Source organism: Homo sapiens, chromosome 18, assembly GCF_000001405.40.
Source record: "Homo sapiens chromosome 18, GRCh38.p14 Primary Assembly".
Lineage (NCBI taxonomy): Eukaryota > Metazoa > Chordata > Mammalia > Primates > Hominidae > Homo > Homo sapiens.
In genome coordinates, this window is record NC_000018.10 from 21857883 (window position 1) to 21876437 (window position 18555).

General features: G+C 36.9%; 1 protein-coding gene across 3 annotated transcripts in view, besides 1 other annotated feature; it reads left to right on the forward strand.

Annotated features, from left to right (window-relative positions):
• The window catches only part of MIB1 (MIB E3 ubiquitin protein ligase 1), a 166038-nt gene extending 152967 nt beyond the window's left edge, over nt 1–13071 (forward strand). For all 3 annotated transcript variants that reach the window (XM_047437676.1, NM_020774.4, XM_011526098.2), the window contains 2 exons: nt 664–764; nt 6644–13071. In XM_047437676.1, the coding sequence (XP_047293632.1) occupies nt 664–764; nt 6644–6784 (242 nt within the window). In that variant the 3' untranslated portion in view covers nt 6785–13071. The remainder of the gene's footprint in view (nt 1–663; nt 765–6643) is intronic.
• Nucleotides 4213–4412: a silencer, noted in NCBI's record as "fragment chr18:19442056-19442255 (GRCh37/hg19 assembly coordinates)". NCBI's record gives its function as "represses an EF-1alpha promoter that drives an FKBP-Casp9 reporter gene in an ReSE screen in phorbol 12-myristate 13-acetate-treated (for megakaryocytic differentiation) K562 erythroleukemia cells {active_cell/tissue: K562(+PMA)}" and the evidence as "EXISTENCE:reporter gene assay evidence [ECO:0000049][PMID:32094911]".

Here is an 18555-nt window from a genome sequence, read left to right on the forward strand (position 1 = left end):
GCAACTTCTGTCTGAGGCTTTTGTCTTTATCACAAATAGAACAGAATAATAAAAATCTCAGGGACAGATTAACTAGAATAAAAGACCAAGAATCTAGAGAATAGGAAAAGTGAAATCAAAGATTTCCCTCCATGTTTGCATACTACAGATGATGGCCTTTCTTGAGTTCCTCATCTCAGATCAGTAATAACGAGGAAGTTTAGTCATAAAGAAAGGAGGCTAGATTTGTGTACGTCCTCATAAAAATCATCTGAGAGACTTTAAAATAATTATTGCTGCCAAAGCTGACCAAAGCCCTGCTGGTTACTTTCTTGGTTCATATGGTACAGGAGCAGAGGAAGCAAGCATAAAATGTATTGATGAGCTTGCCAAAGGAAGCACGTAGAGCCTTGGAAAACCCAGAAGTCTGTGTCTGGATTGTGCTCTGGCTGAGATAAATATAATTAGAAATTAATGTGCAAACTGTTTCTTTTTGGAGTTCATAAATGGAAAAGTGTAACAGAACGTCACTACTGTATGTTGTCCAAGTGTGAGAAAAATTTTTGAAGAGGATTTTAATAATAGTTTTATGTTTTTAATAAACAAAACAGTAATATTTTATTTTATAAATGTCATTCTGTCAAAGCAATAATAACTGAAAATCTTTTTAAATCTATATTATAGCAAGTGGGAATATTCCAGTATTACAAAAGGACAAGGATAATACCAATGTCAATGCAGATGTGCAAAAGTTGCAGCAACAGTTACAAGACATTAAAGAGCAGGTAATAATGATTTCATGTAAACAGTGATGCTGTGAATGGCACTGAATATTTTCCCGTAAAACTACTAGTGTTTCTGTAATAAGTATGGTTTATATTAGTGTATCACTTGTATTATTTGCATATTTGCAATGAGTAATAATCTGATTAGAGGGTTTAATCAGGTACTTTCCAAAATAGGTAACACACAAATGGCCAATGAATATGAAAAAATGGTCCAACCACATTAGTGATCAGGAAATGAAAACTAAAGCCACAAGGAAGTTTTCATAAGTATTAGATTGAGGAAAATGTTAAAGACTGTCAGTATCAAATGTTAGGCAGAATATGTAGCAGCCGTAACTCATACACTGCTGGTGGGAATATATATTAGTAGAAACACTTCGGAAGACAGTTTGTCATTATCTAATAAAATGGAACAGGTTATTGTTTGGAATATAAACTTGGAAAAAACCCATACAGATGGTATTAAAAGTTGAAGGTAGTCCAGGCGCAGTGGTTCATGCCTGCAATCTCAGCACTTTGGGAGGCCAATGTAGGAGGATTTCTTGAGCCCAGGAGTTCAAGACCAGCCCGCACAACATAGTGAGACCGCAACTCTACAAATAAGAAATTAGCTGGGTGTGGTGACCTCCCAACTACTTGGAGGCTGAGGTGGGAGGATCACTTGAACCTGAGGATCGAGGCTGTGGTGAGCTGTGATCACGCCATTGCACTCCAGCCTGGGTGACAGAGTGAGACCCCATCTCAAAAAAAAAAAAAAAGTCAAGGATAGTGGTTTTCTTGGTAAGAGATGGCTGGGAAGGGGCACAAGGGAAGAAGGGAAGTTTCTAGAGTCTGGATGCTCTGTTTCTTGATCTGAGTACCAGATAAATGAATTTGATTAGTTTGTGAACTTGTATTAAACTGTACACTTATGAGTCATGAACATTTCTATATACATGTGATACTTTAATAGAAAGGGGCCGGGCGTGGTGGCTCATGCCTGTAATCCCAGCACTTTGGGAGGCTGAGGCGAGCAGATCACTTGAGGTCAGGAGTTCAAGACCAGCCTGGCCAACATGGCAAAACCCCGTCTCTACTAAAAATACAAAAATTAGCCAGGCATGGTGGCGCGCACCTGTAGTCGCAGCTACTCTGGTGGCTGAGTCAGGAGAGTCGCTTGAACCCGGGAGGTGGAGGTTGCAGTGAGCCGAGATCATGCCACTGCACTCCAGCCTGGGCGACAGAGTGAGACTGTCTCAAAAAAAAAAAAAAAAAAAAAAAAAGGAAAAATGTGTCTGTATACATATACACCATAAAGAAAAGCAGGGGAAACATAATGCAAAATTCACAATAGTAGTCATCAGTGGGGGATACATGGAAAGGATTGGGGAGGATTTATAGAGGGGCTTCAAAAATAAGAGTAACGTTCCATACTTTAACCTGGGTGTTGGTTATGTTGTTCTTTATGTCTTTTTTTTTTTTTTTTTTTTTTTTTTTAGAGTCTCACTCTCACCCAGGCTGGAGTGCAGTGGCGCAATCTTGGCTCACTGAAACCTCTGCCTCCCAGATTCAAGTGATTCTCATGCCTCAGCTTCCCAAGTAGCTGGGACTACAGGTGCACACCACCACCCTCAGCGAATTTTTATATTTTTAGTAGCGATAGGGATTTGCCGTGTTTTCCAGGCTGGTCTTGAACTTCTGGCCTCAAGGGATCTACACACCTTGGCCTCCCAGAGTGCTGAGATTACAGGCGTGAGTCACTGTGCCTGGCTGTTCTTTACGTCTTATATATATCAACAAATATGCTCTTTTATTTCTACCTAATATTTAATAAAAGCAACAATAAGATAAAAAAATTAGCAAAAACTTGTAGGTTTGTTATGTTAAGTAAGATAGCAAGTATTTTTTCTTTCTGGCCATACCTTACCATTTGACCAAGTTACTAAATCTGATTCACAGGCTTGAGCAGTTCTTTAGTTTGGCCAATCACGTCAGTATTGCCATGCAGTTGTTAGAATCATCACTCCTGTGTTTTCTATCTGAATTTATAAGAAAATAACATAGTCAGTAGTTAGCGGCCCAGGATAACTAATGACCCTTGTGATAACTAATTAAGAATTGGTCAGTTGCAGTGAGTGATGTGTACCTGTAATCCCAGCTGCTCAGCATGCTGAGCTGGGAGAATTGCTTGAGCCCAGGAGTTTGAGATCAGCCTGAGCAACGTAACAAGACCCTGTCTCTACAAAAATTTTTAAAATAAATCAGCAGACTGTTATGACACATGCCTGGAGTCCTACCTACTTGGGGAACTGAGGCAGGAGGATGACTGGGGCCCAAGAGTTTGAGGCTGAAATGAGCTATGACAGCGCCACTACACTCCATCCCAGACGGCAGAGTGAGAAACCATCTCTTTGTAGGGGGTGGAGGGAAAGAATTGAATGTATGAATTTATTAGGCATTTAAACCCCCATCTGAAGAGATGAAAACTCTGATTAGGCCAGTTTTTCTTTTGAAATCCAGCATCTAGCAATACTTTTTATAGAATGAATAAGTGAAGATCAATATGAATTTAATGGTTCTTAATGTAATTTGGGACATATTTGGCTAGTTCTAATATAAAATAAAACATTTAATATATCTAATACATCTAATATAATACATCTAATATAAAATAAAAACATTTTTAAACATTTGAAGCTCCTAGCATCTTGATTCCTTTCCCATAAGACATCTACAGAATAAGCTGAGTTTTGAACACATCTTCTATAAAAAGCATTTTATATTCTAATTATGAATTAAAATTGTTCTTAACATGAATAGTGACATTTATTGAACCCTATATGGATCCTAAAAGAATAATTCTGCTCTACTATATCCAAAGTTTAGCATTCTACCCAAGTTTATACTTTCTTAAATAATCCTCATCGCCATATTTTATCACTGAAGTATTTAAACAGTTTTATCAAAACTCATCTTATGAGGAATGATGGGATTTCTTATAGGGACTCCCTTCAAGGTTATTAAAAAAAAAAAACAAACAACAACCAGAAAACATTCGAATAACTCTGCTCATTTAAATCTCCAGTCTATTACCCCAATGTGTCTTTAACAGATAAAATTTAATTTAACTTGGTATTAAGGATATACTAATCTCAAAGTAAACACAGGCTGCACAGATGTGTCTACTTTTGGAAATAAGAGTTATTCAATATTACAAAGACCTCTTGAAAATTTAATAGACATGAAATTATTAATAACATTATCAATCTATTTTGCTTTTCTTTTTTTTTTGAGACAGGATCTTACTCTGTCACCCAGGCTTGAGTGCAGTGGCACAATCATGGCTCACTGCATACTGAAACTCCTGGGTTCAAGCAGTTCTCCCACCTCAGCCTCCCAAGTTGCTGGGACTACAGGCATGTGCTGCCACACCTGGCTAATTTATTATTTTTTGTAGAGATGATGTCTGTGTTGCCCAGGTTGGTCTTGAATTCGTGGGCTCAAGTGATCCTCTTACCTCGGCCTCCCAAAGTGTTGGGATTACAGGCGTGAGCTACCGCGCCTGGCCGGCTTTTTAAAAATCTAAAAAGATGGGATTTTCTATAGCTTTGCTTCTCAAAACTTTAAGACAAAAATGTGACAGTTTGCTTTGGAGGAGTGGGGCTACCAATTTAGGCTACAATTCCTTTTACAATGATCTCTGGTATTCTCAAAGTTGGTAACAGTTGGTAACAACATGTCATATAGGCTTTAGGCCTAGTTTTTTAATGAAGACATTTCTTTTTAATTATTTCATTTCCATGTTATTTGGGAAAGCTATAAATCAGAAGTATTATACATTAAGGCAAATATGATTTTATAAATGTAAAATGTGTTTTGTGAATAAATAGTATTTCAGACATATACCTGACATACTTTTACATTCTTTCAAGTTCATGAAATTTACATTTATTAATATGTAACTAAGGCTAATTTGTTTTAATTCAGGGGAATCTACATTGATAGTAATACAGTGCAGCACAGTGTCTAAGAGCAAGAACTTTGGGGCCCTGAGTTGGTTCACTCTAGGGCTTGCTTTGAGGAAGGTTTTCAATCCCGCTGAGCCTCGTTTTCCTCATTTTCCAAGTGGGAATGATACCAGGACTGAGATTGTATCCTATCTAAGCATAGTGCCTGACAAGTGTTCTCAGCTACTTCTCAGCACTGCTCCCCACCCTGCACCATGTATTGCATGATACATTGCCTTCTTTTTATGCAAGAGCAGCTGAGTACCTAGATTCAGGGAATTTCAGTTAGACTGAATGGAGCTATTTTCATCCATTTCCTATTACGTTTTGGTTTATATAGGTTTTTTTGTTTGTTTGTTTTGAGACAGAGTCCTTGCTCTGTCGCCCAGGCTGGAGAGCAGTTGATGCAGGATTTTTCTCAACCCCTTTGTCATACTTGCGACAGAGGTGCGCTGCTTACTTGGCCACTGTGCTCAACTGTTTGCGGGAGGGAGCACATGAACGAGCAATTGCAGGATCCATGCAGCGGCACCCAGGTGGGGGTGCCTGCGACTCCAAAGCCCCTGAGGGCATGTTAGAGTGCTCTCTTAGTTCTGCCGTCCACGGACAGCGGTGTGTTATCAGCTCAGTTGGCCCCTTGCCTCATAGTGTGGGGTAGCTGCCCTCCGCCAGTGAGGGCAAAGGGCCAGTGTAACAGCCTTATTTTGGGTACCCACACTCGGTGTGTCCCGAGCTCTTGTCCAGTGTTCAAGAAGAATGAGGTCACCTGGACACTTGAAGGATGGTGAAGGCAGAGAGTTTTATTAAGTGATGGAAATGGCTCTCAGCAGAGAGGGGAACTGGAGTGGGGGTGGGACGGGTAGGTAATCTTCCCCTGAAGTCCGGCCATCTCTTCCCTGAAGTTAAGCCATCTCTCCTCCGAAGTCCAGTCATCCCTTTGAAGTCAAGTTGCCTCTCTCCCCTCTACTACCTGGGTCTGGAGTCTTTAAAGGCACAACATGGGAGGAGTGGGCAGGGTGGGCTGTGGGTAGTTTTGGAAAAGGCAACAATCGATTGGTAAAAAGACATTATTTAGAAAGAACCAGTTGGGCTGGGCGTGGTGGCTCATGCCTGTAATCCCAGCACTTTGGGAGGCTGAGGTGGGCAGATCACGAGGTCAGAAGATCAAGACCATCCTGACCAACATGGTGAAACCCCATCTCTACTAAAAATACAAAAAAATTAGCTGGGTGTGGTGGTGCGCACCTGTAGTCCCAGCTACTCAGGAGGCTGAGGCAGTAGAATCACTTGAATCCAGGAGGCGGAGGTTGCAGTGAGCCGAGATTGCGCCACTGCACTCCAGCCTGGCGACAGAGTGAGACTCCATCTCAAAAAAAAAGAAAGAAAGAACCAATTGGGAGAGAGTGGGCAAGCAGGAATAGAAGTTCTCACTTTGGCCTGTGGGTTTCAGGCTTTTCAGCTCAAAGGTTGGGTTTCACTGGGGACCCACCCTTGTCTGCCTAGAATTTCTCTGCCTCCTGCCTCTATCACAGCGGCGCGATCTTGGCTTACTGCAATCTCTGCTGCCCGCGTTCAAGTGATTCTCGCGCCTCAGCCTCTTGAGTAGCTGGGATTACAGGTGTGAGCCAGGGTGTCTGGCTGTGTTTTATATATTAATAGTTTTTAATCTTATGTAGTACCTTTCATACTATCCTGATAGTACAACCAGTGTTTCTATTTTATTTTATAGGGATGACATTTTAACTATTTAAAAATGTTAAAAAATTGTTTTTAAAAACCACCAAAATATTATTTGACTAAAACAACTAAAGAAAATTAATGATATATAACAGTCTGTCACTTTCCAAATATAAAGTGTCTAATTTATTACTTTGTTATCTCACATTACAGACAATGTGCCCTGTGTGTCTAGATCGTCTGAAGAATATGATTTTCCTTTGTGGTCACGGAACCTGTCAACTCTGTGGAGACCGCATGAGTGAATGTCCTATCTGTCGCAAGGCTATTGAACGAAGGATTCTTTTGTATTAACTAAGACACATGGTGTATTTTGTTAGCTAATGTATCTAGTCATGAGATCTTAATAGGCTTTTGATCTAGTTGGAAGTTCTGATGAGTTAATTTCTAATATCATAGTTTCTTTACTAGAGTATAATTGGGCTGTAAATGTACCAGAACAAAAAACCCTACAAAATGGTGTTGGAAATTGTGTTTTTTGTTTTTGTTTTAAATTTGAAACATCAAATTCATGTAACTCATAGGATAATTTACCTTTGGCTTCTAAGAGGAAAGTCCTTTAAGGATATCCTTTTTTAAAAAATTGCATTTTTCTCTTATAATTTGTAAATTTGTTGGATCTCAAAAGACATAATTCTTTGTGATCAGTTATCCTTCATTTCATCGTGGTTTTACACAGTGAGTTGATAACAGGTTCTCTGAGAAGTCATGCATCAAATAAAAGAGGCAGGTCAAACAATTATGTCACATGGTAAATTATAAAATGACAGTACAAGTTCCAGATAGTTAAGGGAATACCGAAGGGATGATTCTTTTTTTAAGATAACAGGAAGTTACCCACATGTTTGTTTCTGAATTCTTAGAGTAAATGGAAGCATAGAATGAGGGAATAATGACTTTGCATTTCTCTTGTTTTCTAGATTCAAAAGGAACATTGTTTAACTTGAATCAGATTACCAGTTTCAAGGTGACTGATAGACAAGAAAAGGAAAAATAAGCAATAATAGTGGGCAACTGAAGAGAAAAAAAAAACGAGTATCTATTAACTGGCCACTAACAGTTGCCTTTCTTACATTAATTTATACACTATTTTGTTCAGCCAGTGTTTTTAAAAAAAATCTATGAAAAGTGTACTTCCGGTTTTCTGTGATTACTTATCTGGGCTTGATCTGACCAGTGAAATGACATTGCCCTATTTGGACCTCTGAGGTTCTATTTAGCTTTGCAGATGTACATAGTATCCCAGTGATCTGCAAAATTAATGCCTTTTCCAAGAAAAAATCTTTTCTTCTCTGTATCAGTTAATTCTGACAGTGTTAGTGATTCTGTCTTCATTATAGGCCTTATTTCCATTATCTCTTTCTTTATAGTATTTTTTGTTATAAAGAAAACAGTCTTTCTGTGTATACCTACGGATGAGGGTATTATTTAAACTGCCAACAATATCCAAGACATGGTCAATAACCTAATTATAAATACTTTAGAAAGAGTGACCAGGACATGTATAGAAATGTCTGCTTACCTGTAGACTTTAAAAACAAACAAAATTTTTGGAGCATTTAATCATTTTTTTTCTCCTTTTATCTCCTTTGTAATCTTATTGTCTCCTGAGTAAATATACACATAAATGTTTGGGGATTCATTGCTGCTAGATTATATCAGGTGTTTACATAGTGTCTACTATATGCTGTTGATAAGCTTTTTCCTAAAAATAGTTATCCTCTTTTGTAGTTTTTTTCCCTCCTTTAAATCTGGCTAGCTTTTCTTACTTCAGTTTTTATAGAACACCAACTAAATTTGAAAGTATGAAGTCTCTAGCCCTCTTACACTGTTTCTGGCTGTTTAATCCTTGCTGCCTTTGCAAGTCCTGGTGAAAGCAATGGGGAGCTTTGCTGGCTGGTTTTGTAGTCTCAACAATTCCATGTCTGTGTTTAGCTGAGTAACTGCTATCATTTAGAACAGTAAAATTTTTATAGATTTCAAATTTGAAAATTCATGTACACTCAGTTATCTAATAAGGGGCCACCGACGCTGTTTTTAAAACTATTTTGAAGTTATAAAAAGGTAGAACATCTGACTGATGATGTTCACATAAAGAGACAGACAGACTATCATGTTGCAGACATGAAAACAGCATGTCAGGTTTTTCCTTTCCTTCCATGCCATGGGCTACCCATCTCTTCCCACTAGATCACCTGGTGAGGAGGGAGCACCTGGCTGACTCATGCAGAGTTTGGCCAATCAGAGAATTGTGTGGTCTCCAGCTCTACTTTCCTTAAACAAATCCTTTCTGTTTTCTGAGCTGCAGTGCTAAAACAGATCCCTAAAAGGTAATAGCATCTTCCAGACTAGTTTAATTATTTCCTTTATAAGAATATGACATAAATTTTTATTATAGAAATAATGTCATTATAATTTTAGTGCTAGTACTTGTGGGTTTTCTGTATTTGTATCACCTTGAAATTTGTTCCATGAATAGAAAATACTTCTTTATTCATGTTTTCAATCACTTAGAATTATTTTAAATTTATTTTGGGTTTGTGAGAGATAATAAGATTAAGAACTTCATCATTTCAGTGACTTTCCTCCAACTCTCTGAATCTGCTACCTCTTATTATATGTCCCTTAGCAGTACTTTTCCAGTTAGGTTCGTTACCCTGCTCATTAGCTAAACCTCTTTATCTTGTGCCTCAAAAGAGCTTTTACTTTTCTTAGAAACATTTATAAAAAAGAAAAAAACTGACACGCATTCATTCAAAAAAGTATTTATTGGGCTTTAGGGATTAGATACACAACAGTGGAAAAATGGCATCTTAGCACACTCAGAATTTATTGTGCAGCAGTTGTGTATTTTAAGGAATCTGTAGTTAAAAGGAAGAGATCCAAAGGTCCTGATAACATTTCCTAACGTTTCAGAAGAGTTGTCATTGAGTAGTGTTTGGATTTCCTCTCTGTATCCCTCACCCTACCATTTTCTCCTTTATTCTTCTAAGATTGTTAGCGTTGTTACTCAAAACATACACATACAACATACCAGATGGTGCTGTTCTAATGGTATTTGTTCACGTAATTTAACGTTCTTACTGCTTATACTATATACATATTTAATTTTGTTGGGAGCAAGAAGGTTTTCAAGAAAAGATAATTTTGTATTAGTGTAGGAATATATTAGACAAATGTTTAGTTGGTCAAATTATGCATAAGATATTTGTAACTTTAAACATTGCAAATTGACCAGCTAGCTATGGAAGCATAAAATTAATTGATAATTAATGTTGGAAATACATTTCTAAAATTTATATTTTTATGGTGTTAGCCTGTAAGAGCATTTTAGCATATTGAAATGCATGCTGCTTAAGATGTGTCTGGTTCAAATATCAAAACTTGCTGGGTCATTTTTACATAGTAGAAACATACTGTCTATGTGTTGCCCAATTGCTGTTTGTCCACTCTGAATTCTGGACCCTTTTTGGACTAAGAATTAGTTAAATTCATGAACTAAGAGAATTAGAGATGGGGTAGAGTAGGATCAGGACAGTGGGGTTACAACAGATAGGAAAGGAAAGTCAGCATTTGAGTGTAGAGAAAAAAAGAGGATCATACAGATGTCATCAAATTATAGGCTTTAATACAGGTTGCTTTTTTTAATCCAAAAGGAAAAGCACTTATCCTATCAGAATGTCTACCATGTTTTATAGTAATAATTTGTGTAAAAAATTGAATTTTTGAATAGTTTTTTGTATTTTTTGTGATGAAAAACTCATAACATAAAATTTACCATATTAACTGTTTCTAAAGAATACAGTTCAGCCATGTGAAGTACATTTACACTGTTGTGAAGCAGATCTCCAGAACTTTTTCATCTTGCAAAACTGAAACTCCATACCCATTAAACAACTCCCCTTTTTGTTTTCTCCTCAGTGGAATAGAATTTTGACTCCATATAAATCAAGAAACACCTAAATTCTTTAGTTGTTTGTGTTTGCAAGATCTAAGGTCATGGTAAACATTAAGTTCTTAAAATTTTTGGGAGGGACAGTGCACCTCTCCTCTGAATTGTTAGCAATTAAATTGAGTAGGTTTTAAATGTCTATTCATTGGAAGGGTTTGTTATTTCATTTTGAGCCAGAGGGGAGAGGCACATTTTAAATATCAGAATTAGATTAGCTTTGAGTTTGTACAATTGGGAACATAATAGATTTTCATAAATTATGTGTGCCTTGTTGGAAGTGTCAACTGTCTTTATGTCTGCTTGTAAAAGTTTCAAAATATGTTTTCCCTCAAAAAGGCAACGTTACTTCATTTGCTTGAATATTATGATAGGAATGCTTACTGATATTACTTGATAGTCATATATAGCCTAGGAAATTTAACATATATATAACTATAGCAGTATTAATAATGATAGTTGTACTTCTTTAAAACATTAAATTTGAGGAAACTTTAATGCTGTCTCGTGTACATTGCTTTACTACAGTGAGGGGGAATATCCTTTAGATTGAGCCTCAATTTACTGGTTAGTAGTATGTGAAACTCTGGTATAAAAACGTAAACTAGACAGTAGAGCCGATGAATTAAAATTGTAAATTGCTACATTGGCATTTTCTACCTCCTTTTCTGTCAGAGTATTACTTTTTCCAGCATTTATTCTTATTTGTGAGTAAAGAGGAAATGGGAACCTGAGGTTAAAATTGACATTTTTGTTTCATTGAGAATTTAAGCAGTAGGTACAGGAGAAGTGACTTGTCACATTAATTTGGTGCCTAAATCTGTAACTACAAGTTGTGATCGACATGTACAAAATGTCTAAGAAAGGTCATATGCTGAATATTTTACTTTTCCTGTATAGTCTGCATGATTTGTTTCATAAACCCAGCTTATTTCCTCCAAAAAGCAAAATGGTCCTGTAATTTTTAAAGTAAAATAAACGTGCCATTTTGTCTGCAATCTATAATTTCAGGAAGTTATTGAAAGTTCTGACTCAGGGCTTTTTAACAGTTCAAGCAATTGTCAGTTATATTTTGGAAACTCCATCTGTGTAATTCTCCAGTGCCTTGAAAGAATTATTAACTTGGCAACACTATTAAAACTTTATAAAAGATGGTCTTTAGTGCACGTGTATCATTATATACACGTTTTAAAGTCATATTGCTTAGCTTGTTAATAATGATTCTGCATGTGTGCTGGGTTTGGGTAATTCTTTAAAGGAAGTTTTCTAGATTTGCACTTGATGTTTGTTTTTTAAAAACTGATTATTTATGGCCGTGACACTGTTACCAGAAAAGTAATTCTAATTAAGTTATTATGCAAAGTCATCTATAAGTAGCATCTGGGAAGAGGAGATCGAGGCCACAGTTTGCTATTTTAGTATGAAAGGAGGATCTGTTTGGGAAACATAGATTGTCTTCCCCTCAAATGAGGGGAAAAAAAAAAGACCCTTTGTTCAAATGGATTCTGTTGTAAAAAATTATTTTTAAAGGAAATCACAAATTGTATGTCATTCTTAATGCTAGTCTTATAGAATAAATCCATAAAATTGTTTTTATGTTCAGTATGTTTATGTCATTCTAAATGCAGCAAATTCAATGATAGCAGTTCAATTGACTCATAGCAGTGTTTTGTATTTTTTCTAATTCTTTAGCTTTCAATATTGGATTAAAGTCTTGTTTGTGAATATAGTTTCCGTATGGCAAATGATTTCTTGCTTATTAGCTTTTGTTAAAGAATGCTTAGTAAGAGCTAAGCTTTTAAAAGTAATGCAAACATTTATCGTTAATAAAACCTATGGTGTAATATCATATAATGCTTTTCTTTGATCTTTGGAGAATTATTCTTTTATAGTAGTATACATGAATTTTGATTTTTAAAGCATTTAAAAACAAATCTCAATACATTAAAAAACCTGTTATTGTTAAAAAGGAAATTACCATGCCTTTAAGAAACAAGGATGTACATCTTCAATTCAGCATAAGTGTCCACATCTAGAAGGCTCTCATTGCAGTTGTTTACAGTTAAGGTACCTCTATCTAAAGGGCCAAAGAAGCATTTCATATTTTAACACCTCACATTCTTTCAGGATTAAGACATATGAAAATAGTCTGAATAGGATAAATTTGATAGGAAGTAACTTAACCAGTCTGGAAGATTCAGCTTTTTCTATAAAAAGCTTATTCCTCTTCACAACTCAGATGTAGATTTCATTTTCAAGAGGTAGATATTTTAAAGCAATGATCTATTTGGGTTTTAGTTTTATGAGTAAATCATTAATTGTATGGTTTGGGGGTTATTTTATTTTCCATGTTAATATAAGCACTTATTTCTGAAGTTATTGAGAGGTCATCTAGCTCCAGTTCAAAAGATTATGTATATCTGATGTTTAAGAGGAAAAACATCTGAAAAAATATCTTTTGTTTATTTGAAAAAAGCATATATATTCCAACTTTAAAATTGTGAATTTATTTTGAGTAACCTCTAATTAACTGTATTTTTTTGTTTCTGTTGCTGTATAGTTAGAAATTTCATGGCAATATTTTTTACTAAATTGAAACTATAGGTTTTAAAAATAAAGACATTTTAGAAAATTTGCTTTATATTTTTCATCATTGATAGTTTTTCATTGTTCACAGAGGTTAAAATTATTTGATAGTCTTCTGGCACAACATTCCCAAATGTATTGACAATGAAAACATTCAAGGCCAGGCGCAGGGGCTCATGCCTGTAATCCCAGCACTTTGGGAGGCTGAAGTGGGTGGAATACCTGAGCTCAGGAGTTCGAGACCAGCCTGGGCAACATGGCAAAACTCTGTCTCTACAAAAAATACAAAAGTTAGCCAGGCATGGTGGCACACACCTGTAGTCCCAGCTACTTGGGGGGCTGAAGTGGGAGGATCGCTTGAGCCCGGGAAGTCAAGGCTGCAGTGAGCCGAGATTACACCACTGCACTTAAGCCTGAGTGACAGAGTGAGACCCTGTCTCTTAAAAACAACAACAAAAAACCCAAAACATTTAAAGGGTGCATAGGCATTTATAAGATAATAATGAGTATACAGATTAAAATAGAACACCAAGAATAATTTCTCAGATAAATTATTTATTGAAGAATAATCATTTGGCAAATAGTTTTTCCCTTATAATAAAACTCGATAAATTCATTTTTATCTTATTAAGGACAAAAAAATGATAGACCTTATTTGAAAATGGAAGACCAGACCTGTAACAGATCATCGGTGAGGAGATGACATGGGAAGGAGGCCATCAGGCAGTGCTGCCTTTGCCCATAACTCAGATGCGATGCATTCAGGCTGCAGGTACCACTTCATGCTAGGGCTCTGCATTTACAGTTAGAGGAGCTTTCTGAAAGGCAGATTTCCAAGATAATATATTCATTATTTTTCATATATTTGAAAGTATTGTCTTCCTTCCCATCTGTGTTCTTTCTTTCCACAAAACATTAATATTAAGAGTATGACACTGACAGGCAGGGAAATACTGTTATAGGTGAGGTTACCCCAATAGGGAAACCAGAACCAGCAAGCATGACAAGAGATTTTGGAATTATCAAAGGAATTTAAAACAGCAACAATTAATATGCTATGAGCTCTGATGAAAAAAGTGGACAATTCAGATAATTCCAGCACTTTAGGAGGCCCAAGTAGGGGGATTGCTTGAGGCCAGGAGTTCAAGACCAGCTTAAACAACACAGAAAGACCCTGTCTCTATGAAAAAAAAAAGCCATGAATTGTGGCATGTGCCTCTAGTCCTAACTACTCAGGGGCTGAGGCAGGAGGATCACTTAAGCCCAGGAGTTCGAGGCTGCAGTGAGCTTTGATTGTGCTGCTGTGTTCCAGCCTGAGCAACAGAGCAAGACCGTCTCAAAAAGAAAAAAGAAAAAAAAAAAAAAGATGGGTAATATAAGCAGAGAGATGGAAGCTCTAAGAATCAAAAGATTCTTGAAATAAAAAATGCTACAAATGGGAATACCAGAAGACTTTTTAAATATTTTATTTATTTATTTTTGGAGATGAAGTTTCATTCTTGTCACCCAGGCTGGAGTGTAATGGTGCGCTCTCCACTCACTGCAACCTCCACCTCCCAGGTTAAGCGATTCTGCTGCCTTGGCCTCCTGAGTAGCTGAGATTACAGGCGCCCACCACCATGCCCAGCTAATTTTTGTATTTTTAGTAGAGACGGAGTTTCACCATGTTGGCCAGGCTGGTCTCAAATTCCTGACCTCAGGTGATCTGCCTGCCTCAGCCTCCCAAAGTGCTGGGATTACAGGCGTGAGCCACCACGCCCAGCCAGATTTTTTTTTATTTTTTATTTTTTTAAAAAGCAATAGAAGAAACATTTGAAGCAAGAGTGACTGAATATCCCAAAGATAATGATAGACACAAAACCACAGATCCAGGAAGCTTAGAGAATATCAGCCGGGATAAATACTAAAAATCAAAACATTACCATCTCATATTCAAAGTACAGAAAATCAAAGACAGAAAAAATTGTGAAAGAACTCCAGGTGGGGTTGGGGTGTTGGGGAGGGGCCTTGTTGATAGAGGAGCAAGGATAAGCATTATATTGAACTTCTCCAGAAACTGTGCAAACAAGAAGAGTAAAAGGAAATGATTAAAAGGTTGAAAGAAGAAAAGTACCAAATAAGAATTCTGTATCTAGTGAAATTATCCTTCAAAAATAAAGGAGAAGTAAAGATTTTCTAAGAGAAACAAATATTGAAGGGATTTGGTGCTAGTAGATTGGCCTTACCAGAAGTGTTAATAGAAGATCTTCATAGAAAAAAATAAAACATTTTTAATTTTTGTTTATTCATTTTTATTTTAATTTAGCAATAAACCATATGGCCAGGTGCAATGGCTCATGCCTATAATCCCAGCACTTTGGGAGGCCGAGGTGGGTGGATCACGAGTTCAGGAGTTTGAGACCAGCCTGGCCAACATGGTGAAACCCCGTCTCTACTAAAAATACAAAAATTAGCTGGGTGTGGTGGCACGCAGCTGTAGTCCCAGCTACTCGGGAGGCTGAGGAGAATCACTTGAAACCGGAAGGCAGAGGTTGCAATGAGCTGAGATCACACCACTGCACTCTAGCCTGGGCAACAAGAGTGAAACTCCGTCTCAAAAATAAAAAGAAAAAACAAAAAAAAATTTTACCAGAGATAAAATTAACCACAAAGAAAGGAAGAAAGGAAGAGAGGAGTTAGTTATAAAACAACCAGAAAACAAAGAACAAAATGGCAATAGTAAGTTCTTATCAATAATAACATGGAATGCAAATGGACTAAATTTCCCAAAGAAAAGACAAACCAAACTCAAAATTTGTAGAAGGAAGGAAGTAATAAAGATCAGCACAGAAATAAATGAAATTGGGACTAGGAAAGAAACAAAGTTGAATAAAATGAAAAGTTGTTTTTTTGAAAAGATAAAATTGACTGACTTTTAGCTAGACTAAAAAAAGAGAAGACCCAAATAATATCAGAAATGAGAAAGGTAACATAACATCTGATACCACATAAATGCAAAGGATCATTGGAGAATATTATGAATAATGATATGCCAATAAATTGGAAAACCTAGAAGAAATGGGTAAATTCCTGGACACATACACCCTACCGAGATTGAGCCACGAAGAAGTAGAAAACCTGAACAGACCAGTAACAAGTAATGAGATTGAAACCCCAATAAAGTCTCCAATCAAAGAAAAGCCCAAGGACCTGATTGCTTCACTGGTGGATTCTACCAAACGTTCAAAAGAAGTATTAATACCAATTAAACTCCTCCAAAAATTGAAAAGGAGGGAATACTTCCAAACAAATTCTATCAGGCTAGCATTACCTTGTGTATTAGTTCATTCTCACGCTGCTATGAAGAAATACCCAAGACCGGGTAATTTATAAAGAAAAGAGGTTTAATTGACTCACAGTTCCACATGGCTGGGGAGGCCTCGGGAAACTTGCAATCATGGCAGAAGGCACCCCTTCACAGGGTGGCAGGAGAGATAATGAATGCCGAGCAAAGGGGGAAGCCCCTTATAAAATCATCAGCTCTCATGAGAACTCACTATCATGAGAACAGCATGGCAGAAACTGCCCCCATGACTCAATTATCTCCACCTGGTTCTGCCCTTGACACATGGGGATTATTACAACTCAAGGTGAGATTTGGGTGGGGTCACAGAGCCAAACAATATCACCCTGATACCCAAACCAGACAAGGACACAATAAAAAAAAGAAAACTGCAGGCCATTATCCCTTATGGACATAGATGCAAAAATCCTCAACAAAATATTACAAAATACAACAACACATTAAAAAGATCATTCGCCATGGTCAAGTGGGATTCATCCCAGGGATGCAAAGATGGTTCAACATATGTGTCATGCCAGACCCCTACTGACTCCAAAAGAGATGGCATTGTGTCTGAGAGGCCCAGAAGAGACCTGGAGCCAGTAAACGAGACAGGGTTTACAGAGGACTTACATACAAGGCAGTCCAGAGGTGACAGGGTGGACAGGAGCACTGCTACTGTTTGTAAAAAGCATGCAGTTTATATGGCATTTTCACGTAGCAACACCAACCTAGCAAACTTCATTTAACCAAGAAAAGTGGCCTCGTTTCCTTGCACATCCTATGTTTCAAGGAATGGGCAGAGGGGTTCAACGTCCTTCATAAGAAGTGAATCTCCAGATTAGCCACTACTGGATTCCTTAGCATGGAACTCTGAGCACACATTCTTCTTAGACCATAGGGTCATTCTCAGGGTATGCTTAAGTTACTGCTGTCAGGTGCATCTGCCATACAATACACAAGTCAATAAACATGATACATCTCATTAACAGAATCAAGGATAAAAACCATGTGATTATTTTAATAGATGCTGAAAAAGCATTTGATAAAATTTAACATCCCTTTATGATGGGTATTAAAGGAGCATACCTCAAAATAATAAAAGGCCATCTATGACAAACCCATGGCTAAACATTGTACTAAATGGAGAAAAATTAAAGGCTGAGCAATTAGGCAAGAGAAATAAATAAAGGGCATCCAAATTGGAAAGGAAGACATCAAATTAGCCTTGTTCACAGGCGACATGATCTTATACCTAGAAAAACCTAAAATCTTCACCAAAATATGTTAGAACTGATAAATGAATTCAGTAAAGTTGCAGAATACAAAACCTACATACAAAAATCAGTAGCATTTCTATATGCCAACAGCAAACAACCTGGAAAATCAAAAAAGTAATCCTATTTACAACAGCTACAAAAAAATATAAAATACCTAAGAATCAATCTAACAAAAGTAGTGAAAGATCTATACAAGGAAAACTGTAAAACTGATGAAAGAAATAGAAAAGGACACACATACACACACACAAATGGGAAAACATTCCATGCTCATGGGTTGGAAGAATTAATATTTTTAAAGTGACCATAGTACCTAAAGCAATTTACAGATCCGATGCCATTTCTTTCAAAACATGAATAACATTCTTCACAGAAATAGAAAAACAATCCTAAAATGTATATGAAACTACGAAAGACCAAATAGCCAAAGAAATCCTGAACAGAAAGAGCAAAGCTGGAGACATCACACTACCTGGCTTCAAAATTTATTACAAAGCTATAGTAATCAAAACAGTATGATACTGGCATAAAAACAGATACATAGACCAATGGAACAGAATAGAGAACCCAAATATGAATCCGTGCATTTACAGCCAACTCATATTCAACCAAGGTGCCAAGAAATTACAATGTAGAAAGGACAATCTTTTCAGTGAATGGTGCTGGGAAAACTGGATAACTATATGCAGAAGAATGAGACTAGGCCCCTACCTCTTATCATACACAAAAATCAAACAAAAATGAATTAAACACTTGAATCCCAGACGTGAAACTATGAAACTACTAGAAGAAAGCATTGGGGAAATACTCCAAGACATTGGCCTGAGCAAAGATTTCTTGTGTGACACCTCAAAAGCACAGGCAACCAAAGCAAAAATAGACTATTAGGATTACTTCAAGCTAAAAAGCTTCTGCAGAGCAAAGGAAA